This window comes from Homo sapiens, chromosome X (assembly GCF_000001405.40).
Source record: "Homo sapiens chromosome X, GRCh38.p14 Primary Assembly".
NCBI lineage: Eukaryota > Metazoa > Chordata > Mammalia > Primates > Hominidae > Homo > Homo sapiens.
In genome coordinates, this window is record NC_000023.11 from 115137592 (window position 1) to 115164723 (window position 27132).

The following is a 27132-nucleotide window of genomic DNA, read 5'->3' on the forward strand; positions in this document are numbered from 1 at the left end:
TGGATTTTGCCATTAGTAGGTGCATGTTAAAATCTAGCGAGGGGCTATTTCAATGGAGAAATGGAAGCGAACGCCAGATTGCAGTGGGTTAAGGAATGATCAGAAACTGGAGAACTAGAAATAGAAAGTTTGGCCCTGGCCATGGTCAGGAGTTCAAGACCAGCCTAGCCAACAAAGTGAAACCCCTTCTCTACTAAAAATACAAAAATCAGCCGGGTGTGGTGGAGGGTGCCTATAATCCCAGCTACTCGGGAGGCTGAGGCAGGAGAATCACTTGAACCCGGCAGGCAGAGGTTGCAGTGAGCTGAGATCACGCCATTGCACCCCAGCCTGGGTGACACAGCGAGGCTCCGTCTCAAGAGAAAAAAAAAAGAAAGTTTAGCCCTAAAAGAGAGCAAAGAGATAAGGCAACAGCTAAAAGGGCAGTCAGGGATAATGGTAGTGTCAGGGCTCAGAAAATACTACCCCAAGATATGGCACCTTCAAGGTCACTCTCTGACCTTCTCCAGGCCCCCCTTTCTTCGCCCCCCTTCCTCTCCCTAAGGCAGGTAATAGAAACTAGAATTCCCCGTCTCACAAAGCAAGCCATACAATCTAGAAAGGTCACTCTCTGACCTCCTCCCTTCTCCCTTTAAGATGCATGTGACAGGTTTCCTGCAGCATACCGAAGGAGAAGGAATGTCATAGAGAGACACAGAAAAGATTCTCAACAAACAGGCCCAGTTTGTTACCATTAGATCATACCCTTTTTTGTTCAATCACGTGTCTCCACAACTATTCATTTCTTTCATCAGACTTAGCATGAACATACGGTTTTCCCTGGGTCTTTGGGTCTTCATTTCTGAAGGATCCTGTGTCACATAAAAACTTGAGTAAATTTTTATGCTTTTCTCTTGTTAATCCATCTTTTGTTATGGGGTGTCAGCTATCATTCTTGCAACGAGTAGGGAAAAGATACTACTTTTTCTTCCCTATAACAGAGGTTTGAGCATATTTATAAGGTGAAAGGTAAAGAGGCAGGAAAGACATAGAAGAATAAGAGGATAACTGAAATGCAAAGAAATACAAGATGATATACTTAAGAACTTAGAAAATGGGAAATGTATTACTGTTACTCAACTATAATTCTAATTTAAAATACTCATTATACATGAAAACTTAGAAAGATGCTAAGTTTGCATTACTGCACATATTTAAATGTCTTGAAACTCCAAACCTAATATATACATAGATTTGAAAATACTCTCTAATTCCAAGTTTTTACTAATTCAACTCGGCTATCCCCAACTAGTATTAATCTGAATTCTGAATTACTGAAGTTTTATTACATCTAAATTCAAATGTTACAATAAAGGCCTAGTTTAAAAACCAGAAAAACAGAAAGGTCAGTCCATCTCAGAAGCTTTTATGTACATATACATATACATATACATATTTTTTGAGGCTAGTCAAGTGAAGCAGCAGGAGTGGAAAATAAACAAATGTGTAATTGTGAGCAATTCGTTGTAAACACCATTGAATTCGGACTAGCCTCAGAAGCTTGTAATAATTTCAAAAGAGAGACAATAACTTGTGCATAAACTCTGACTCAGAATAAATCAGGTTATTTTACAATCCCAGTGGCTTCTTTACTCCCATATAAAACGAACAATGATCATAGAAAATGTGTCAAAATATTTTCCAGGGGGTTAACCTTTAAATAAAAATAGTGTACTATATTTATGAAATCAATATGTATTTTATGAGTTATTATGTTTTATCATAATAGTAATGAGATACATTTGAAGACATATATGCCACTTAAATAAATCAAATAATATTTAAAACTAACTGGCTACAGATACTCTAATACTTTTTAACTGTTTTGTCTAGAAATCAATTATTAAATGCATTTAGAAATTCACCTGTGGCCGGGCACGGTGGCTCATGCCTGTAATCTCAACACTTTGGGAGGCCTGGGCAGGCAGATCACGAGGTCAGGAGTTTGAGACCAGCCTAGACAATATGGTGAAACACGGTCTCTACTAAAAATACAAAAATTAGCCAGCTACCCACAGTAGCCAGCAGTGCAGGGAGAGAAAGCCTGTATACTTGGGGGAGGGAGAGCACAGGGACTGGGGGGCTTTACATTGAACTTAGTGCTGCCCTGCCACAGAGGGGAACAAAGTTGTGCTGTGCTCAACAAGCACCCAGGCATGGCGGGAGCATTTGGATCAGCCCTAACCAGATGGGAATCGCTCATGCCAGCAGCTTGAACTTAAGTTTCTCAGTAACCTCACCAATCGCAGGCCAAAGTACTCTGGGGTTCTAGGTAAACTTGAAAGGCAGTCTAGGGCACAAGGATTGCAATTTCTAGGCAACTCCTAGTGCTGTGCTAAGCTTAGAACCAGTGTACTAGGGTGGCATGTGACTTAGGGAGACACCAGCAGGGGTGGCTAAGGGAGTGCTTGCACCACTCCTCCCCCAACCCCAGACAGTGCAGCTCGCAGCAATGAGAAAGAGACCCCTTCCTTTCACTTGAGGACAGGACAGGGAAGACTGAGGAGGACTTTGTCTTACCTCTTGGATACCAGCTCAGCCACAGTAGGATGGGGCACTGGCCAGAGTTGTGAGACCCCCATTCCAGGCCCCAGCTCCTGGATGACATTACTAGACATATACCCCTGGGCAAAAAGGGAACCCACTGCCTTGAAGGGAAGGACCCAGTCCTGCCAGGAGTCATCACCAGCTGATGAAAGAGCCCTTGGGCCCTGAATAACCAGCAGAAATACCCAGGTAGTATGCTGTGGACCTTGGGAGAGACTGAGATGTGCTGGCGTCCGGTAAGACTTAGCACAAAACCAGATGTCGTGGCTACATGGAGAGTCTCCTGTTTGAGAAAAGCAGAGGGAAAAACAAAGGGGAATTTGGCACCTTAGGAACCCACTCAGACACAGTGAGGTAAGCAACAAGCAGTCTCTTGGAGTTCAGGAATCTAGGCCTCGGCTCTTGGGCAGCATTTCTGGACCTGCCCCAAGCCAGAATTCAGGGTGAGTCCCAGGACTGGCAGCATTCACCACAAGCTGATTGAAGAGCCCTTGGGCTTTAACAGAACATGAGCAGCGGGCTAGCAGAACCTCCCATGGGCCAGTGGTGGTGGTGGCCACTGAGAGAGGTTCCTCTACCTGTGGAAAGGGGAAAGAAGAGTGGCAAGGACTTTGTATTGTGGTGTGAGTGCCATCTTGGCCGCAGTAGAATAAAACATCAATAATAACACTAAATGTAAATGAACTAAACTATTAAAATAAAAAGACATAGAATGGCTGAATAGATGAAAAAATAAGACACAATGACCTGCTACCTACAAGAAACACACTTGAGGCCAGGCGTGGTAGCTCATGCCTGTAATTCCAGCACTTTGGGAGGCCGAGAGGGGTGGATCACGAGGTCAGGAGATCGAGACCATCCTGGCTAACACGGTGAAACCCCGTCTCTACTAAAAATACAAAAAAAAAAAATTAGCCAGGCATAGTGGCGGGTGCCTGTAGTCCCAGCTACTCTGGAGGCTGAGGCGGGAGAATGGCGTGAACCTTGGGGATGGAGCTTGCAGTGAGCCGAGATCACGCCACTGGGTGACAGAGCAAGACTCTGTCTCAAAAAAAAAAAAAGAAAGCTTATTTTGCCAAGGTTGAGGATAGTGCCTGTGTCACAGCCTCAGGCAGTCCTGATGACCTGTGCCCAAGGTGGTCAGAGCACAGCTTTGGTTTTAAACATTTTAGGGAGACACAAGACATCAATCAACATATGTAAGACAAACAATATTTCAGTCCAGAAAGGCAGGAAAACTGGAAGCGGCCAGGGGACTTCCAGGTCATAGGTAGGTAAGAGACAAATGGCTGCATTCTCTTAAGTTTCTGATTAGCCTCTCCAAAGGAGGCAATCAGATATGCATTTATCTCAGTGAGCAGAGTGGTGACTTTGAATAGAATTGGAGGCAGGTTTCCCCTAAGCAGTTCCCAGCTTGACCTTTCCCTTTAGCTTAGCAATGTTGGGGTGAGGCCGAGGGGGGTGGATCACTTGAGGTCAGGAGTTCAAGACCAGCCTGGCCAACATGGTGAAACCCCATCTCTACTAAAAATACAAAAAATAAAAAATTAGCTGGGCATGGTGGTACATGCCTGTAGTCCCAGCTACTCAGGAGGCTGAGGCAGGAAAATTGCTTGAACCCAAGAGACAGAGGCTGCAGTGAGCCGAGATCATGCCATTTCACTCCAGCCTGGGTGACAGAGGAAGACTCCACCAAAAAAAAAAAAAAGAAAGAAAGAAAAAGAAAAAAGAAAAAAAAAGAAACACAGTTCACTTACGAAGATACACATAGACTGAGAATAAAGGGATGAAGAAAGATATTCCATGCCAATGGAAACCAAAAAAGAGCAGGTGTAGCTATACTTATATCAGACAAAATGGATTTCAAGATAAAAATGAACAAGAGACAAAGAAGGTCATTATATAATGAAAAAGGGGTAAACTTAGTCAGAGGATATAGTGATTTGTAAGTATATATGCACCCAATACTGGGGCACTCAGATATATAAAGCAAATATTATTGGAGCTCAAGAGAGATAGATCTCAATACAGTAATAGCTGGAGACTTCAACACCCCACTTTCAGCACTGGACAGATCTCCCAGACAGAAAATCATCAAAGAACAATTGGACTTAATCTGCACTATAGACCAAATGGACCCAACAGATATTTACTGAACATTTCATCCAGTGGCTACAGAATATATGTTCTTCTCCTCAGCACATGGATCATTCTCAAGGATAGACCATATGTTAGGTCACAAAATAAGTCTTAAAACAGTCAAACAACAAAGAAGTTGCTGAGATAACATGAAGCAACTTCTCTGACCACAATGAAATAAAACCAGAAATCAATAAGAAGAAGAATTTTTAAAACTATACAAACAAATGGAAATTAAACAATATGCTCCTGAATGACCAGTGGGTCAATGAAGAAATTAAGAAGGAAATCGAAAAATTTCTTGAAACAAATGATAATACAAATACAACATAGCAAAACCTATGGGATACAGCAAAAACAGTATTAACAGGAAAATTTCCAGCTATAAGTGCTTACATCAAAAGAGAAGAAAAACCTCAAACAAATAACATAATGATTCATCTTAAAGAACCAGAAAAGGAAGAGCAAACCAAATCCAAAGTTAGTATAAGAAAAGAAACAGCCCAGGTGTCATGGCTCACACCTGTAATCCCAACACTTTGGGAGCGTGAGGTGGGCAGATCGCTTGAGCCAAGGAGCTCAAGACCAGCCTGGGCAACATGGCAAAACCCCATCTCTACAAAAAATACAAAAATTAGCTGGGTGTGGTGGTGCCTGTAGTCCCAGCTACTTGGAAGGCTGAAAGGTGAAAGGATGGCTTGACCCTGGGAGGTCAAGGCTGCAGTGAGCCATGACACCACTGCACCTCAGCCTGGGAGAAAGAGTGAGACTCTGGTTTAAACAAACAAACAAACAAACAAAAACAAAAGAAATAATAAAGATCAGAGCAGAAATAAATAAATTTGAAATGAAGAAAAATAAAAAAGATCAATGAAACAAAAATATGGTTTACTGAGAAGATAAACAAAATTGACAAACCTTTAGTCAGATTAAGATAAAAAGGGGAGAAGACCCAAATAAAATCAGAGATGAAAAAGGAGACATTACAACTGATACCACAGAAATTCGAAGGGCCACTACTAGCTACTATGAACAACTATGTGCCGATAAATTGGAAACTCTAGAGGAGATGGACAAATTCCTAGACACATAAAACCTACCAAAATTGGATCATGAAGAAATCCAAAATGTGAACAGGCCAATAACAAGTAATGAGATCAAATCTGTAATAAATAGTCTCCCAGGAAAGAAATGCCTGGGACCTGAGGGCTTCACTGCTGAATTCTACCAAAAACTTAAAGAAAACCTAATACCAATCCTACTCAAAGTATTCAAAAAATTGAAGAGGAGGGAATACTGGCAAACTGATTCTACAAGGCCAGTATTAGCCTAATACTAAAACCAGACAAAGACACATCCAAAATAGAAAACTACAGGCCAAAATCTCGGATAAATATGGATGCAAAAATCTTCAATAGAATACTAGCAAACCGAATTCAACAATATATTTAAAAGGTCATTCATCATGACCAAGTGGGATTTATTCCAGGGATGCAAGCATGGTTCAACATATGCAAATCAATTGTTGTGATACATCATAACAACAGAATAAAGGACAAAAATCATATGACCATTCCAATTGATGCCGGACAAGCATTTGCTAAAATCCAACATTCCTTCATGATAAAAACCCTCTGATATGGTTTGCTTGTGTCCCCACCAAAACCTCATCTTGAATTGTAACTCACACGATTCACAAGTGTCATGGGAGATACCAGTGGGAGGTAACTAAATCATGGGGGCAGGTTTTTCCCGTGTTGTTCTCATGATAGTGAATAAGTCTCATGAGACCTGATGATTTGAAAAACAGGAGTTTCCCTGCACAAGCTCTCTTCTCTTGTCTGCCACCATGTAAGACGTGCCTTTCACCTTCCACCATGATTGTGAGGCCTCCTCAGCCATGTGGAACTGTCAGTCCAATAAACCTCTTTCTTTTGTAAATTGACCAGTCTCAGGTATGTCTTTATCAGCAGCATAAAAATAGACTAATACACTCTCAAAAACTGGGGTATAGAAGAAATATATCTCAACATAATAAAAGCCAAAACTCATAGCCTTTCCCCTAAGATCTAAAAGATGACAGGGATGCACATTGTCACCACTGTTATTCAACACAATACTAGGAGTCCCACCTAGAGCAATCAGACAAGAGAAAGAAATAAAGGGCATCCAAATTGGAAAAGAAGAAGTCAAATTATCCTTGTCTGCAGATGATATAATCTTGTATTTGGAAAAACCTAGACTCCACCAAAAAAAAAAAAATAGAACTGATAAATTCTGTAAAGTTGCAGGATACAAAATCAACATACAAAAGTCAGTAGGATTTCTATATGCCAACAGTGAACAATCTAAAAAAGAAATTTTAAAAATAATCCCATTTACAATACTCACAAACAAAATTAAACACCTAGAAATTAACCAAAGAAGTAAAAGATCTCTACAATGAAAACTATAAAATACTGCTGGAAGAAATTGAAGAGGACACACAAATATGGAAAGATATTCCACATTCATGGATTGGAAGAAACAATATTGTTAAAATGTCCATACTACTCAGAGCAATCTATAGATTCAATGCAATCCCTATCAAAATACCAATGGCATTCATCACAGAAATAGAAAAATCAAGCCTAAGATTTAGATGAAACCACAAAAGACCAAGAATGGCCAAAGCTATCCTGGGAATAAGGAACAAAACTGGAGGAATCACATTACATGACTTCAAATTATACTACAGACCTATGGTAACCAAAACATCATGGTACTTGCATAAAAACAGACACACAGACCAATGGAACAGAACAGAGAACCCAGAAACAACTTCACACACCTACAGTGAACTCAATTTCAACAAAGCTGCCAAGAACATACACGGGGGAAAAGACAGTCTCTTCAGTAAATGAGGCTGGGAAAACTGGATATCCGTATGCAGAAGAATGAAACTAGGCCCCTATCTCTTGTTGTACACAAAAATCAAATCAAAATGGATTAAGGACTTAAATCTAAGACTTCAATCTATAAAACTGCTATAAGAAAACATGGGGGAAAATCTCCAGGACACAGGTCTGGGCAAAAATTTCCTGAGCTACCCCATAAGCGCAGGCAACCAAAGCAAACATGGAGAAATGGGATCACATCAAGTTAAAAAGCTTCTGCACAGCAAAGGAAACAAGAAAGTGAAGAGACAACCCACGGAATAGGAGGAAATATCTGCAAACTACCCATATGACAAGGAATTAATAACCAGAATTTAAGGAGCTCAAGCGACTCTTTAGGAAAGTATCTAATAGTTAGATTAAAACATGGGTAAAAGATGTGAATAGACATTTCTGAAAAGAAGACATACAGATGGCAAACTGGCATACGAAAAGGTGCTCAACATCATTGATCATCAGAGAAATGCAAATCAAAACTACAATGATGTATCATCTTACCCCAGTTAAAGTGGCTTATATCCAAAAGACAGGCAATAACATACTGGTGAGGATGTGGAGAAAAGGGAACCCTCGTACACTGTTGGTGGGAATGTAAATTAGTACGAACAATATGGAGAACAGTTTGGAGGCTCCTCAAAAAACTAAAAATACAGCTACCATACAATCCAGCAATCCTACTGCTGGGTATATAACCCAAAGAAAGGAAATCAGTATATCAAAGAGATATCTGCACTTCCATATTTATTGCAAAACTATTCACAATAGCCAAGATTTGGAAGCAACCTAAGTGTCCATCAATAGAAGAACAGATAAAGAAAATGTGGTACACATACACAATGGAGTACTATTCAGCCATAAAGAAGGAGAGTCTGTCATTTGCAACATGGATTGAAATGCAGGTCATTATGGTAAGTGAAATAAGCCAGGCACAGAAAGACAAACACCACATGTTCTCACTTATTTGTAGGATGTAAAAACAATTGAACTCATAAAGATAGAGAGTAGAAGGATGGTTACCAGAGGCTAGAGAAGGGTAGTGGGGGAGTAGAGGGTAGGTGAAGATGGATAATGGGCATAAAAAATAGAATAAATAAGACCTAGTATTTGATAGCGCAATGGGGTGACTATAGTCAATAATAATTTAATTGTACATCTCAAAATAACTAAGAGTATAATTTGATCATAACACAAATGATAAATGTTTGAAGGAATAGATACCCCATTCCCCATAATGTGATTATTGAACATTGTATGCCTTTCAAAATATCTCATGTATCCCATAAATATATATACCTAATATGAACGCCAAAAATTAAAAATTTAAAATAAAAAAAGATGTTTAATAAAATACTTCCTGGCATCATGAAGTTCCCTGAAATACAGTGATTTTATTTTGGCTATAAGAACACTAAATTTTATATACTAGAATAATAATCTATACGATAGCGGCCTGGGAATCTAAAAGAGTCAATGTAACTTTCCTACCATGATTTACTTACTAACTTAACCTGACCCAATTTGTGTTCTTGCTCACATAATCTAGCCAATATGTTGAAACAGTTTTACCTAGTTTCAGGGACTTACCTGAAAAAAATACTATCCAAAATTAGCCTTCAAAACTAAGAAGAAATACAGTTGGATTTCTTACATACATACACACACACACACACACACACACACACACACACACACACACACACACACACATTCAATAAATACACTGAATAACCATGACAAATAATTTACCATGGGACAGAAACAAAGAAATCCTGTGCCTCAGTCATTTATACGTATTAAGATAAAGTTGCACAAAAGTTCTGTACATTTCGTAACATAGCAAAACCTAAAAGAGCCACCATTGAACAAACTCAGTGATAATCTGATATAAACCTCAAGTGTAGTGTATTTTACTGTTTAATGAACTATAAATCCAGATTAGCTTTAATAATACAACCTACCAATAGCACTTTCAATTATCGGGAGATAGGTGATTAAGAGAAATTTCCTCTTAGAAGCTGCTGATGTTTTAGTCATGAAAATAGTGACAATTCTGAATAATAGTGTTGATTTAATTTAGGAAACTGTATGTCAGTTTTATATTTTCTTGACATCTTAGGAAAAAAAACTAGTGACATACTCATTTTACTATGTCCTAATACTGACATCTTCTGACAATTTAGGAGAACTACACATCTCCTTAAAACATTTCCCAGTGACTGAAGCTTATCTTTGCACCTAATTTATTAAGGAAAAAAATTAACATTTGTTGAATGATGATTATGTAATGAGCACTTCAAATATTATATCATTTGATCTCTTTTAATAACTTTATAACATAACTAATATTATAGAAGATGTTTATTTTATAAAAAATAAAATACCAATAAATGATGCTATGAAACCAAAGAATTATGTTTTTAAAATGCTCAGTTTTTAAAATGCACATTTTTAAAATGTGGCCTCTATTAAGACATCTTGAGAAGTCCACTCAAGTTACTGTAAAACGTTTTTTAAACACTAAAAGTGGGCCAAAAATGTCAGTAATCTCAGCACTTTGGGGGGGCCTAGATGGGAGGATCTCTTGAAGCCAGGAATTTGAGACCAGCCTGGGCAACATAATAAGATCTCACCTCTACAAAAAATTTTAAAATTTGTAGGGCACTGGGGGACATACCTGTAGTTCTAGCTACTGGGGAGGCTGAAGCAAGAGGATCACGTGAGCCCAGAGGATGGCCTGAGCCCAGGCATTTGAGGCTGCTGTGTGCTATGATCACGCTATTGCACTGCAGTCTGGGCAATAGAGAGAGACTCTGTCTCTTAAAAAAAAAAATTAAAAACCAGTAAAACTGTGTTTGTTTGAAAGTGTTTGCTGATATGATATTAAGCTATACACAGTAGATAAAGAGGCAGCCTAGCATAGGCTTTGGGTTCAAATCTCAACTCTGCCACTTATTACTAAGTGAACTGAAGAATACTACTTTGCATCTCTGTGCCTTAATTTCATCATCTGTAAAACAGAAATAGTCATAATTGTACTTACCTCATAAGGTTGTTATGAGGATTAAATGAGTTGATCTTTGTGAAGTCTTAGGACAGTGCCTGGCACTTAATAAGTGCTATGTAAGTTTTTTGACAAATAGTCAGAATTGGTATTGTTACTATGATAAAGGAGAACTGGTTTTGTTATACTACGATATTGGTAGTATACTAAGAATTTGTATTGTTATACTACAATAAAGGAGAGCAAATAAATATTAAATTTCTTTTATTATATGAAATACTACTAAAATTTCCCCCATACCATCAGTCATTCACTAAGTTTTATCTACAAGCAAATTTTATTCAGTGCTTTGTTCAAGGTCCAATGAACTAAAAAGGGAAACTTTAAAATAATGCTGGAATGTAAACACAATTACAGATGTATAAAGGGTTAGGATAAATAAACTTTCACTATTATTGACCAGGGTTCTACTTAGAATGTCCTTCCCTTTTTCCTCATGTCTTCTGTTTCTTTGTTATCTCTTATATTGACCAGGAAATGTAAGACTCATTAAAAGGACTCAGTATTTATTTGTTGAAGGCTTAAATTTACCACAGATCCACTAAGACATATAACAGTTTTGTTTTAGTCATGATACTATTTCCAAATGTATGTTACACACCCATATATAGAAACAAACAAATGTGCATACAGACCTATTTCTACCAGAGAAAAACAGAGAATATAATCCTATTTATTAGTGATATAAACTTGAACCTACAATGTAGACTAGTACTATGTTTCAGATGAAATTACTATTATCATCTAATAATAATTAGGCTTTGGGAAACATAAAACGTGTACAAAGACAACAAAATTTGCTATTCATGGAGCAGAAGCTTGTTTGTACTATTCATTTGAGTCAAATCCAGTAATGAATTCTGGCTAGTATTGAATATTATTCTGAATTCTAATGATTGGCTTCTACAAATACAGCAGACCCCAATCACAAATAGACAATAATACAATATTTACAAATGTGTACACAGTAAAATTTCATTAAAACCCTGCTAACTAGAAATGTGGGATAATTTGGATGATCTGAGCTTTTCTTTTAGCTAAGATAAAAGACACTCAAGCAATCTACTAAGGTAACAAGAAGAAAAAAATGGAAAAATCTGCCCTCAAGCATTTTCAGAACTATATAAACAACACTTATTTACATAGGAACAGTTAAATGCTAATTGTAAATATGTGTCAAATATTTATTGAAACAAATCCAATGAAAGACTTTTCCTGGACAATTCTTTTAAAACATACTACATATTGCTACAACTAGCAGTGCAGCAAACATTCGTCTATCTTGCAAAGTATTTGGTAAATCATAATTTATATTTATCTACTCAATTATTCTCAATTACTGAAACCTTATGGATATAATTAGATTGTATTACCCCATATATGTGAGAAATCAAAATAACACATTTACTACATTTAACTAGAGAGTTACAGTCTACCTTATTAACTCAAAACAAAACTGACAAAATAAAAACTAATAATTACAAAGTAAATTTAAAAACTTAATATAGAGTACCTTGAAATATTCTTTTCTAATCTGTTTGCTCCGCCTCCTTTCTTCACTCTGCCAGATTATAGGGTGAGATTCTGGCCACGGTTGTTCATCTATTTGATCCTTCTGATTTTCTAAGGGCTATAATGAGACAATTTATTTTAACTAAATAAAAGAGAACAAAATGATAGATATAATTGTAATTTAATTTCTTCTTACCTGCCAGGTGAGGGGTGATAATGGTGAATTAACTTCATCTGCTGAGACACTAAAAAATTGAAGATGCCTTAATACGTTAAAATATTTAGAATAAATCCTTAAATATATATTATGAACCTTAGATGTTATCTTTTTAAAAACATTGTAAAGAATTTACCCATGTCTACACTTTGGCCTAACAACATAAAACTTAAAGTTGACAGAAATATATTTAAGTTTCTAAAACCTGTTGCTCTACAGGAAATATCAAAATGGGTTTATTCTATGTAGGCCCTATGCATAGGTCTATTCTAAGGAATTCCCAGAAGCTAAAATAAGTGAAATATCTAAAGATATATTGTCAAAGGACAGACAGGATATTTATTATATTAAAATAATTAACAAAGACTAAAAAAAACTAATAATTTCCTTTGTCTAAATGCCAAAGAGCTCAAGCGAGTAGTTATTTTTGCCTACTGAATTACTGATTATGAGATGCAACCTGTTCATTCTAACAAAACAGGGGCTATGAAGGAAATTATTTTCATCTAATTTTTTGTTGTTGAGATAAGGCAGACTATGCATGCTGTTGTTAGATGGCAATTTTGAACAAGGAGTTCCTGTGGAAAAAATATATAAACAAAATGTCCACTGAAGCTGCTATAACTTAACACTATTGTGGAATTTCTGTATAGTGCAATAACAAAAAGAAAATAAAAATTGGATATAAAGATCCAATTTTTAAAATTTATAGAACACATGATTATCCAAGAGAAAAAGACAAAAAATCTATTATTATAAGAGGTAAGGTTACCAGTTAAAGAAAAACATACAAAAGTTAATAGCTTTCCTACATATCAACTATAATGAGTTAAAAGATATATTAGAAAAAAATGCTATTCATAGAAGGAAAGAAAAGTATAAAATACCTAGGAAGAAACTTAACTATACTTCTACAAGACCTACATGAAAAAACTACAAATGTCTAGTAAGAGACTTGAATAACCAAAAGGTTCTTGGATAGATAAGTATTACAGGTATAACTTCTCTTTCAACTTAATTAATAACTGAAATGAACTGTAATAATAATTTTTTTAACTCAAGAAGTATTTTTTGGTTTGTTTTAAACATTTGACAAAGGAGTTCCAAAGTTAATTTGGAAGAATGGATGATCACGAAGAGAAAAGTTATATAATAAAGAGGACTTTTCAACCCTCCTTTCTACTAGCTCCAGAATCTACAGATTTTTCAATGGAAGAGGAGTACAGGACCACGAGTATAATAACTTCTGAAAAAAATGACATTTAAGATCATTGTGAAAGTAATGGCTTATATAACAAGTAGTAGAGAGACACCTGATTGATCACGTGTAAAATATACACTGAAAGAAAGAATAAAAAAGGGGGAGGAGACACAGTGAGAAAAAGGTGGGGGAGGAAGAAAACTAGATTCCTTACCTCATACCAAATATCAAAATGAAAAATTAAAAGATTTAAATATAAAGAAGAAATCACAAAGTATCAGAAAAATACAGGCAGTAATTTTTTAAATATTGGAATAGAGAGAGCCTATGGGACAAACAATCAAAATTAAATACTAACAAATTTGAACACATAAAATGTAAAAACTAGACTTTGCTAGTGGCCAAGATAGGCTAACAGTGACCAGATTTATATCCTGACTGAAAAAACTAAAAGAATGGGCAAAATATTTAAAATTATGCCTTCCATGACATTGAATATTAGGCAAAAAATGACATTATCCTTTAGAGATGAGTAAGGAGGTAAATCCCATAACTGAGCCAAGTTGCTGCATGGAAAGAGTTTCCAGTCCACATCCCAGGAGAAAAAAACTAAGGCAGAGTCTAGCAGGCCCAGAATTCAGGAGACAGAGCTGGAGCCAGGGAGAAAAGGGCAGAGTGAGTTCATAGCACACAGTAACAAACAAAAGGGCAATGCACAGAGAAAGGAAAGAGATCTACAGAGGCATCCCTCAAATTTTCATCTGAGCGTACTGATCATTGAACATGTATGTGAGGAAAATACCCTAGGCAAAAGGATAAAATCACCCTCAAAGCTTAGAGGGAATAATTCCCAGATTCTCAGAGGACCAGGAGTAGTACCAGTTCCCACCAGCTAAACTGGAAAACCTCATAATTCACAGGACATCCAGTAGAGAAATGTCTTGCCTCATTAAGGGGACAAATTTATTCCTAGACTAAATGCTGCACTGGTCCCACATAAATAAATTATAAAACCAAGTCCCAAAATATCAAATTATTTCCAAGTAATTTAACCATATCCCAGAACAAAAGTCAAAAGTATGTATAATAATACAATATCCACACTCAAGAATGTAAAGTACACAATGTCTGTCATTTAATCAAAAATTCAACCAAGCAATGTTCAAGAAGCTAAAGGAAAAGACTGAACATGTTAAGTACAGACATAATCAAACTTCTAGAAATAAAAAGTGCAACATCTGAAATTAAAACAAACTGGATGGAATTAACTGCAGATTAGACATTTCACAAGAAATGACTAGCAAACACAAAGACAAAGCAGAAGGACTTGCCAAAACCCAACACAGACAGAAAAATATTAAAGAATGAATAGAACATCAATGTTCCATGGCAAACTTCAAGTGGCCTAATTGGAGTTCCATAATAGAAGAGGTCAAATGATAGAAAACATATCTGAAGAAATAAGGGCCCCAAAATTTCAAATTTCATGAAAATAAACCCACAAATTCAAGAAGCTCAATGAACTCCAAACAAAAGTAACATGAAGAAAACTACACCAAGATATATCACCATCAAATTACTTAAAACGAGTGATAAAAAATGTTACAGACACCCAGAGGAAAAAAGGACACATTAGGCAAAGTAAAACAAAGATAAGAATATTCTCATAGAAAACAGTACAATCCAGAGGATGGTGGAGAAACCTCTTCAAGGTACTCGAAGAAAACTAAAATGTCAAACTAGAATTGTGTATGAGCCAAAATATCTTTCAAAAACGAAGGTGAGCTAGGCATGGTAGCTCATGCCTGTAATCCCAACACGTTGGGAGGCCAAGGAAGGAGGATTCCTTGAGACCGAGAGTTCAAAACCAGCCTGGGCAACATAGTGAGACCCTGTCTCTACAAAAAAAAAAAAAAAAAAATGTTTAAGTTGGCTGGGTGGGATGACACATGCCTGTGGTCCCAGTTACTTGGGAGGCTGAGAGGTGGGAGGATCACTGGAGTGCAGGAGGTCAAAGCTGCAGTGAGCTGTGATGGCGCCACTGCACTCCAGCCTCGGTGACAGAGCAAGATCCTGTTTAAAAAAAAAAAATTTAAAAAAAGACTTTTTCAGACATAGAAAAGCTAAAAGCATTCAATCAGCAGACCAGTAGTAAAATTATGTTAAAATCTCTCTTTTAGGCAGAAAGAAAGTGATGCACATGTAAATATGAATCTACACAAAAAATAAAGGGCACTGGAGATAGTAACTAAGGGATTGAACACATAAAAGACATTATTCTGATTATCTAAATGTTCTTAAGAACAAATAACTGTTTAAAGCATAAATAACAACTTGTTATGGTACACATAACAGATACATAAAAAGTAAAATGTATGACAACACACCAAGGCTAAAAAGGAAAAAAAATAAGTATACTGTTCTAAGGTTCTCACATGACACACGAAATGGCATAATAGCCCTTGAAGATAGACTGTGATAAGCTAAATATCATACTCTAACCCCTAAAAAAACCATTAACATAACAAAAAGTTACAGCAAATAAGCCCACAAAGGAAATAAACAAAAATTTTTAAATATAATTCAAAAGACAACAGAGAAGGAGGAAAAATGAATAAAAAGGATAGAACAGAAAGAAAACATACAGCAAACCTCAAAATATCATTAATTACAAAAACATAAATGATTTTTAACATTGCAATTAGAACGTAGATTGTCAGATTCAATAAAAAGCAGGAAGATACTACCATATGCTAACTATAAGAAATGCGCTTTCTCTACAAAGACACAAATCAGTTAAAAATAAAAGGATGGAGAAACACGCATCATGCTAATACTAAACAAAAGAGAGCTGGACTGACAATATTAATATCAGAAAAGTGGACTTCAGAGCAGAGAATATTATCAAGAATATAAAGAAAAGTCATTTCAGAATGACAGTACAAATTCACCAAGAGGACAATACAATCCTAAACATTTATATATCTAATAATAGAGCTTCAGAATGTATGAAGGAAAAATTATAGAACTGCAAGGAGAAAGATAAATCTACAATTAGTGTTGGAGATTTCAATAACCTTCTCTTACTAACTGATAGAACAAGAAAACAGAAAATAGGTAAGGTATTGAAGATTTAAACAATACTATCAACCAACTTAACATAGTTGACATTATATAAGACTCTAACCAATAACCACAGAATACATTTTTTTCCAAGTTCCTAAAGAACTTTTACCATGATAGGCCATATTCTGGGCCATAAAAATACTCAATATATTTCAACAATAGAAAGTGCTTCTGACCACAACAGATGCAAACAAACAAATTACAAAAGAAGCAATATAGATAGGCAATAAAAACTTGAAATAATACTCATCATCACTAATTTAATCACTGAAATGAAAAATAAAACATTTTGATATAATTTGTTCTTTTTAGAATGGCAAAGATTAAATAGATTGATAATGTATAGTGTTAACAAGTATGGAAGTAAAGCTATCCATGTGTTACTTGTGGGAATGCAAACATAAAAGCTTCTGGAGACAACATATCAAAAGCTTTAAATGTACACTCATGTTTTAATCCATCAATAACATATCTTTAAGCATTTAAGTTAAGAAAATAATACAAGTGGGCCAGGTGTGTGGTGGCTCACACCTGTAATCCCAGCATTTTGGGAGGCTGAGGCAGGTGAATCACTTGAAGTCAGGAGTTCGAGACCAGCCTGGCCAACATGGTGAAATCTCATCTCCGCGCCACTGCACTCCAGCCTGGGCGACAGAGCAAGACTCTGTCAAAAAAAAAAAAAAAAAAAAAAAAGAGAGAGAGAGAGAGAAAGAGAAAGAGAGGAAGGAAGGAAGGAAAATACAAGTGTACAGGATATATAAAGTTCATCAAAATGTATATTTAGATTTAGTAGGTATATAAAACCATCACTATAATATTAAGTGAAAACTGCATATTACTAAATAGTATACTCAGTATGATCTCATTTTTGTTAACAGAAAGTATGTGAGATTTTTCTAAAGGTGGGGAAGGGGTGGGGTGTGCTCACCCACGTACTGCTGAAAAAAGTCACAGAATTTAAAATATATTCCCATAATTTAATGTGTTTTGATACGTGCAGCAAACCATCAGAGCACATGTATACCTAGTAACAAACCTGCCGATTCTACACATGTATCTCAGAACTTAAAGTATAATTTAAAAAAAGAAAAAAAAGTTAAGGTCATATAATACTTCTTAATACCAGAAAAAGAATACCCACAAAGCTATTTCCCTTTTGAACAAAAAAGGAGGTTAGAATTGAAAAAGGAAGGGCTGAGATACAAAAGAAAGGAAAAATAAGAAAGTTCACAATAGTAATAACTTAGTTTAACAACTAATAACATATGTGACACTTTCTGTGTGCTAATCACCGTCATAAGCAATTTACTACATTAACCCATTTCATCCTTACAGTAACCATGAGGTAGACACTGTTATTATTTGTGTTTTATAGAAGGGGTAAATGTGGCTCAGAGTAAGCTAAATAACTTCCCCAAGAGAATGAAGAAAGAAGTTCTGTTCCTAAATGCAAATGGTGCCAGTGGGGGAATGTACAAGATGAAGCTCTCAGGGTAAGCAGAAACCCACCTCAATCTTATGGGTTAAGTTAAATATTTTAAGGTTTATTCTAAAAGTTGTAAAGAGTCATTAGAAGATAATAAATGGGAGTCACAAGTAAGATTTGTTTCAGAATTATCACTCTTCCATTGTGCAGAAGACAGACTTAAAGCTAGGCAAACCTGAAAAAAAGGAGCTATGTCTTGGGACTGCTGGAATAAGCCAAGCAGAAAAAGACTGGGCCTGAACATTCTCAGAGGATTGACTCAGGAGTTGAGTCTAATCTAAATTCAAACCATCAAAAAGAATAAATAGAAACTTTCAAGGTCTTCTAGTTCTCAGGAATTCATATATGTGGATTTATATCATGTATTCACATAGAAGAATTTAGTACCACCCAATTGAAAAGAAATGAAAACATAAACAGTATCATAGAGAATAAACACAATCAATGATAAAGAAACACATTATTCCTGGCAGGAATAGCAATATAATAAATGTTCACTGAATGAACAAATAAATGATTCTATCAAGACAAAAATGCATCTATGAGCAAAAAAGATCAGCATTTTTTATTTTGCTTACATCAAAAGTAAATTTAACTCATGTTCTAAAACATTTCCTATTTAAATTATCTAGTTATATTAAATCTGTATCACTTATTTAATTAAAGCCTATATACAAAAACATCACTGTCAAAGGATCAATACTCATTATAAAATATTAAATGTAAAAACTAAGATATTTTTATACCTCTTTTCACATTCCACAGTTTGTTTTGGCTTGTTTCTCATCACAGAAGTTGAATGATTAAGAATCCTAGAAGTAAATCAACACATTAATTCCCAAATCTATTAAGAATATTACATCACATGATATAAAAAAAATCTCTAAAATAAACTGCATCTGGTCCTTGAAGATCTTTGCTAGAAAATAATATTTAAATATTATTTAGATCAGATGCCCATAAGTGTACTATTTTATAACAAAATGAAGCTCGGCAACTTTTCCATGCATCTTCGTTTATAAACCCTTTCTCAAAGTTTGGATATCTTCTACCCATGCTATTATTGCCCTTTGCATATCTAACTTTTGGCTGAGATAGAAGATAAAGAGATACAGAGGTACCATCGTGACTGATTTATTTTTCCCAGCACAGCAAATGATATGAGGTATGTTTATGTAATACATAGTTATTTTGCCAAATGAAAAATTTTAATTCTAAATGCAAAATCAGCGCTCCAGTCCAATTCTTTAAAAAAACACAAGTTTCTTAAACTTTTAATAACTAAATAAAACCATTCAAAGAAAACCAAAGAAAGAAAATGATGAACCATTATAAGAGAGAACTATTTCTACATAATGTTACATAATTCTAAGTATTAATCTCAAAGTCAAAAGTAATGAATTACTGTCCTTAACATAAGGAACTATACTTAAGAGTTCTTAATGTTACTATATATAAATATAATTTTCACTTTTAAAATTTAATATAAGTAAAATCTCGGCCTTTTATTCAAAATAAAATCTCCAGACGTCAACTGCCAAAAGAATACAGAAATGGATTTTAAATAAAAGCTATATATTGACTAATAAAATACATAATGAATTAAATATAAGTTGGTAATTACAGAAATATGGTTAGCATAAAGAAACCAAAGTCCATTACGCTGGATTCCTCACTAGCGTGGATCTAGTAGGGCCTCACTAGGAAAAAGTGATAATGAGATGCAAAGGACAAGTATCACACACCAATCAGTGTAGCTTTGGGCCAAACAATTTCAGAATTAAGGACACTTCTTCTTTGTATAGGCATGCATTAAAATTGCCTTAAATTCTTAAATACAGAAAAATTAAGGTAATGAAATATCTAAAACTATTAGGAAAAATATATTTTAAAAGAGTGATTTTTTTTTAAAGAAGAGACCGCAGTAAGTACTACCCTGGGGGAAATTTCAGAATTATTGCAGGGGAGGGGACTCAAACTACAATGGCCTTCACTATAGTAAATTCTAACTCCTTCTCACCACACATTCATTAGCATTGTGATTACGGTTGTGTATGAGTTATATTGAAACAGAAAAACAAGTTGAGATCCACTTACCTATACAATATATTTTATGTACTTGAGAATTCACCTATGTAAAATTTTGCTATGTTCATTATTTTATGATTTACTCTGATACCAAAAGTCAAAACAAACATCTATTCTAATTAAACATCTAGATTATTAACATACTTCCCTAATCCAGTTACTAGTACTTATTTTAAGTAAAAGACTATACAATTCAGCTATGTCAACCTGGCCCCATAATACTTGAAGGCTTCCACAAACTCTAGATACCTTGATTCATGTCCTGCTGCTCTGGTCCTCTGGAAGAGTTTATCACTGAATGATGCTCCTACAACTTAAAGGCCTCTGTCTGTATTCATATTTCACATAAATCAACCAAACCAAAAGATGGGAGAAGATGTTTTTGGAGAGACAGGGTAGTCATTTGTAAAGAAAGCAGAAACAAAAGAATACATAGATTTCAAGGACTGAGAGATCCACCTAATTAGTTATAACAAGCTAGAGGTTAACATGATGCTCCTCAAATTGAAATGTTCACATGATCAGGGAAAAATCATAATAAAACAGGTAATGTCCATAATTTCTATAATTCTAAAACAAAATTATAAACTTCCTAAACCTAGTTTTGCTTTCCATGATCCTTAATTATACTTTAATTATAACTTTTCATAATTGCTTTTTGTTATTTAGCTGTATCACATAGTAATTAGAAGCACATCTTTCCACAATAAAGAAAAACTCTCAAGACACACCTAAAAGCAAATAAAATAATTACTAAAAGGAAAGACACAACAGAAAATACTACAGCGTAAGTTAGCAGGAACAAACATGCAATGGGAACCAGTTAAATGAAGCTATTTACTGCAAAATCACACATATATTTTAATCCTTTCTTTAGAATAGTAACTAAACAAAATTTAAGAAGCCAGCTAAACATCTACTTATTACGCCCCCAAAGAAAATCAGTATAAGAAAAAGAGCAGTAGCCACCTTTTCAACACTAACATAAATGAGTAAGACTCATGGAAATTTGTAAAACTGGCTCAATAATTAATAATACATATCAACTTTTTTGTTTTTCAACAGAATTTCCTTTTTTATTATCAAGTTAATATTAAGAATATTCTAATAGTATCATTTTATTCTCAGTTCCTTCCTTGATTTTTCTTGGTCTAAAAAACATGCTCCCTTTTGTCAATTTTATTTTATTTTGGTAAGAACATTTAACAAGAGATCTACTCTTTTAACAAATTTTTAAGTATACAATACTGTACTGTTAATTATAGGCACAATGTTGTACAGCAGATCCCTAGAACTTACTCATCATGCAACATTATTTTTAAGATAATGATTTTTTTTCAAGACTTGTTTTTATTTCCCAAAATAATAGTGAAGGTAAAATTAGAACTTGATGAATAGCTATTTAAATATAGTCAAAGTCATTGATTCAGAGTGACTTCAATACACTCAGATGCAAGTAGAAATAATAATCCAATATTTTGACAGGGGATGATAAAGACTGTTTATCAATTAAAAAAAAAAATTCAGGCCCGGCGCGGTGGCTCACGCCTGTAATCCCAGCACTTTGGGAGGCCAAGGCAGGCGGATCACGACGTCAGGAGATTGAGACCATCCTGGCTAACATGGTGAAACCCCGTCTCTACTAAAAATACAAACAATTAGTCGGGCGTGGTGGCAGGCGCCTGTAGTCCCAGCTACTCAGGAGGCTGAGGCAGGAGAATGGCGTGAACCCAGGAGGCGGAGCTTGCAGTGAACCGAGATCACGCCACTGCACTCCAGCCTGGACGACAGAGTGAGACTGTCTCAAAAAAAAAAAAAAAAAATTCAACAATAAACTGTAAACATAAAGTAGCTTAACCTACACATCTTAATCAGACAAAGTGGAGGCAGTCTTCTAAACAACTAGGCTTCAGACTTTAAAACCTTATGAGTTACCAATTTGATGGTTTATTTGCTGATCTCTTTTCTCACCCTTTTTGAGTATTAATTCTGTACAATATCCTCTTGCTGCTCCCCTAGGATAGTTTCATGTACCAAGTACTGGCATAAAGTTTCTTAAAGAATCAAAGACATTTTAAAAAATAATATGAACTGCCAGGCGTGGTGGCTCACACCTGTAATCCCAGCACTTTGGGAGGCTGAGGCGGGCAGATCACGAGGTCAGCAGTTCAAGACCAGCCTGGCCAACACAGTGAAACCCTGTCTCTACTAAAAATACAAAAATTAGCCAGGCATGCTAGCGCATGCCTGTAGTCCCAGCTACTTGGGAGGCTGAGCCAGGAGAATTGCTTGAACCCGGGAGGTGGAGGTTGTGGTGAGCTGAGATTGCACCACTGCACTCCAGCCTGGGCAACAGAGTGAGACTCCGTCTCAAAAAATATTAAAAAAAAATAAATTAAAAAATTAAAAATATATATGAACTAAGCAAGTGGCAAAACTGCCATAAGGAAATCATCACTGAACTCAATGTAAGCTGTTTTTTAATTACCTCTAGTTTGGGAGAAGATACATGGCTTCATTTAGCTGAGAGCTAACATTGCATTTGTCTTCTACTAGTAGCAAGTTAAAGAACAGTTAAGTAATATACAGTCAAAGTAGCAGTCCTGGATGATATTTCCTGGTAGGCGAGGGTAATCTTAATCCAGTTAAATTATTTTTAATCAAGACTAAAAACAAACAAAATTTACAATAATTATTTTAAAACCTAAAAAGAGATGTTACAACTCCTGGCCTACAATTTTAAATAGCATTTCAGATCCTTCACTAATATATTTGGAATATAAGACACAATAATACAGCATGAAAAGGAAAATCCACAACCAGAGAAGGTATAAATTATATCAAATCCACTGTAGGATATATTCTCATATAGGATTACGCTTAGATTTTTGGTCTCATTCAAATTCAAGTATTGTGACAGTAAACTAAAAATTTTAAGTCCCTAAATCTAAAAGATCTAAGCAATAGTAACATATTGTAGAAGGAAGAAAGATTATTTAATAGAAAAAATATTAGATTTAGCATTTAAAAATTCTGAGATCCAGTTTAAGTTCAGGCATTAACAGAATTGGCTAGGGATCTAAAATTCTCCATACGTTATAAATTTTAAAAGTAAAATGTGCTCTTTGGCCGGGCGTGGTGGCTCACGCCTGTAATCCCAGCACTTTGGAAGGCCGAGGCGGGTGGAACCCCTGAGGCCAGGAGTTTCAGACCAGCCTAGCCAACATGGCGAAACCCCGTCTCTACTAAAATACAAAAAAAATAGCCGGGTGTGGTGGCACACACTGGTAATCCCAGCTACTTGGGAGGCCGAGGGATGAGAATGACTTGAACCCAGGAGGCAGAGGCTGCAGTGAGCCAAGACTGTACCACTGCACTCTAGACTGGGCAACAGAGCAAGACTCTGTCTCAAAAAAAAAAGTGCTCTTTACTTTATGATCATATTATAAATATTTTAATGTCTGAAAAAATTAGACATACTTATCACAACAATGTCACTGTATATTAATATTTAATCTAAAAAGTTCTTATATTAGTATGTACTAACATCTAAAAAGGATGATAAAGAAGAGAATTAGAAAAAGAAATTACTTTTGCATACATCTTGAAGAACAGCAGAAGTTTTTTTTAGGGAGAACATATAATTTTTTAACTAATTTCTCCTACTAGTTTTAAATGTATTGATTTAATTTTCAAGCAGTCAATCAAAAATATTATGTATTTACTATGTATAAGGCACAGTGCTAGATGCTATTTTGTACTGATTACAAAACTATCACAAAAATAAAACCAATGAAAGATTAACTATTCAGTCAATGTTGTACCTAGGCTAGAAAGAATAATTTAAGTCACATGGATAGATGAAAAACTAATATGCTAATAAGAAAATGGAAATACAGAAATATCGTATATGACAATGTAAAAATCTATAATTATGCACTCAAATGCTATTCCTAATACCACGAGAAAAATGGATAGGCCTGTCGGTTTTTTTTTTTTTTTTTTGAGATCTGTCACCCAGGCTGGAGTGCAGTGGCATGATCTTGGCTCACTGCAACCTCTGCCTCTCAGGCTCAAGCGATCTTCCCACCTCAGCCTCCCAAGTGGCTAGGACCACAGGTGCACACCACCATGCCCGGCTAATTTTTTGTATTTTTGGTAGAGACGGGGTTTCGCCATGTTGCCCAGGCTGGTCTTGCACTCCTGAGCTCAAGCGATCCACCCACCTCGGCCTCCCAAAGTACTGGGATTACAGGCATAAACCATGGCACCCAGCTAGCTGTGGGTTCTTAAAAAAACAATATTATCGTCCCATAATGATAAATACAATTCTTTCACCTGCTAGGTAGAGGAGACAGAAACTTTTTAAGCTCCACAGAACAGGTGGTGGCTTGCTTCATCAAACCTTTTAAATCACAGGGCAATCAACACTTAAATTATATTGGAGGGGGAAAAACAAACACAGCCTCATAAGTAGCCAATTTTTAAAAGGCCCATTAGAAAAGAATCACAGGAAAAGTTGAAAAGATAAACATCACAGAAAAAGCAGACCGAAAGTTACAGCAGAAGAAAAATGTGAACTGCTGATGAAGATACATTTGATATGAAAGGAATAAAGGTTAGTGATTTTCTAGTATGATTTTGTATATCTATAAATGTAGCAACTGTGCAAAAAAGACACTTAGGCAATTTAGCTTATTAGCTATTATATAGATTGCCCCTAAAAAGTGGCCCCTAGAAACCATATATTTGTCATTTGATAAGTTTTAGTTGTATTTTTCAATGTACATTTAAACAAATGCCAGTATATTTAAATTTGAAACTTCCCAAAACATGGTCATATTAACCATAAACATTTATTATTTTGAATAAATGAAATAAAATATTTTACTTATCCATGTTAAATGCACCAAAATTATTCTCTTTTCTCAAAGCAAAAAAAAACCATTCAGATCTTTATCATTTCAAAACTATAAATGTAGTCCTCTCAGTACATGAAGATGGCAATAACAGCTGACCCTCAGCAGCATATGGAACTTTTCCTGCATTAGAAGTGGACATGTCTTGATTTTATTCTCATTCACACAGTACCCTTCTCATTGCCAACAACATGTACTTGAAGAAAGCCTAGCCAAAAGATGAGGAAAATGGTCTTTGACCAAGAAACAGACCAAAGTGAGCCAGTGACCCTCAAATCATCATACTGATTTAATCAACTCTTGCAAAATTCAACTCCATTCTAAGGAGTTTAGACGTATGCCAAGTTTGGAATCTGAGTTTTAAAAAGCACGTTATATTCATGACATGTACCTAGAAAAAAAATGCTTACAATGTAAATAATGCTACTGTGAGCTAAAATTAATATCAACAAATAAATCAGTTATTATGATTCAGCACACACACAGGAATAAAAAAGAAATACCTAGGCAATATTAAATATAGTGACTATATATATGAGTACATTCTGTTAGTTGTAAATGTAATTTTATATTCCCGTCCTAAGTATTTCCTATTGCCTTTTAGTACAGGTTGAGTATCCCTTATTTGAAATGCTTGGGATCCGATTTCAGATTTTTGAATGAGGAATACTCAATCTGTAGTTAGTCCCTTGAGATAGATCTTAAGAGGGCACTATTGTTTACTCAAAACTTCATATACTTTGATAATCTTTAAATAATCAATTTAATGATTATAAAATTTGCCAATTCAAATCTCATTACTGAAAGGAATACCTGTTCTTCTGTTCTTGCTGCAATAACTGAGCAGCTATTTTCCTCAAATCAGTTACTTCCTTCAAATCATCATCCTCTTCCTCTGCCAGTAACTGTTCTTTCTCAAGTCTGAAAGGTGACACAAACATGGTTATCCAAAAAGTAAGGCAGACTACATTTTATGCCAGCTTCCAGAAATAGAAACCATTTTTGTTTTTAACACCATATGAAAGTTAAAATCCTAGGTCCTTCTTTTAAAATGCTAAAATAAGAAATAAGGAAAACTTCTGTGTTCTCTACTCATTATGAAATGTAGCATACTGGCTGTATTAATATAATTAATGACTAACAAATAATAGCAAAGTATATAAACCATTTTTTAGATTTCTGAAATGTGTAATGGTTAATAGTAATCTAAAAATGTATATTCTCCAGCCTTCAGTATAAAAAGGACTGCAGAGTTCTATATGGCCTGTCTTAATACATAAATTTAAAATATTGTAAAATTTTGTCATTTAATTGCACCATCCTGTTTTTATCAGTTTATTGATTTTGATTTTAAAAATCTGTATATGTCTAAATAAAGAAAATCCAAAATAGGTTCAAATAAGATTGGCAAATTTGCGTGAAAATACTAATATGTCATCTTTATAAAAGAGAACAAAAAAATTTTAAAATAGTTATCCAAACTCTAGTCATTTTATCTTTAGATTTCACTTTAAAAACAGTATCAAACCATGAATCTTTGTGACTTTACCACATCGTACATGCTACAGGTGTTTCTCAAGTTTAAGCAACTGACCTCATTAGATGAGGTGAGAAAGTAAAAGAATGAAATCTAAACAGTTCAAGACAAAGCAATGTACCTCCTTACAGGACATCAGAGATGATTAACTAATAACTGTGAAGTCATTTGGAGGAAGCATAATGTAGAGAAAAGAGAAAAGTTTAAAAATCAAAGAGAGCTACTTTCACACTCTAGGTACTAGTGGACACTGGCTAAGTGGTTTTAGGCATAAAACTTAAGAGTCTTTGAACTTCACCTTCCTCACCTGAAAAAATGAGGTCA

General features: G+C 35.2%; 1 protein-coding gene across 4 annotated transcripts in view; it reads right to left on the minus strand.

Annotated features, from left to right (window-relative positions):
* The window catches only part of LRCH2 (leucine rich repeats and calponin homology domain containing 2), a 123481-nt gene that overhangs the window by 26976 nt on the left and 69373 nt on the right, over positions 1 to 27132 (minus strand). For 3 of the 4 annotated variants that reach the window (XM_006724724.4, NM_001243963.2, NM_020871.4), the window contains exons 11-14: positions 26085 to 26192; positions 19011 to 19076; positions 12431 to 12479; positions 12236 to 12352 (exon numbers count right to left, since the gene is read on the minus strand). In XM_006724724.4, coding sequence (XP_006724787.2) covers positions 12236 to 12352; positions 12431 to 12479; positions 19011 to 19076; positions 26085 to 26192 — 340 coding nt within the window. Of the gene's footprint in view, positions 1 to 744; positions 852 to 12235; positions 12353 to 12430; positions 12480 to 19010; positions 19077 to 26084; positions 26193 to 27132 lie in introns of all 4 variants that reach the window. The other variant, XM_017029696.3, reaches the window with a different exon arrangement.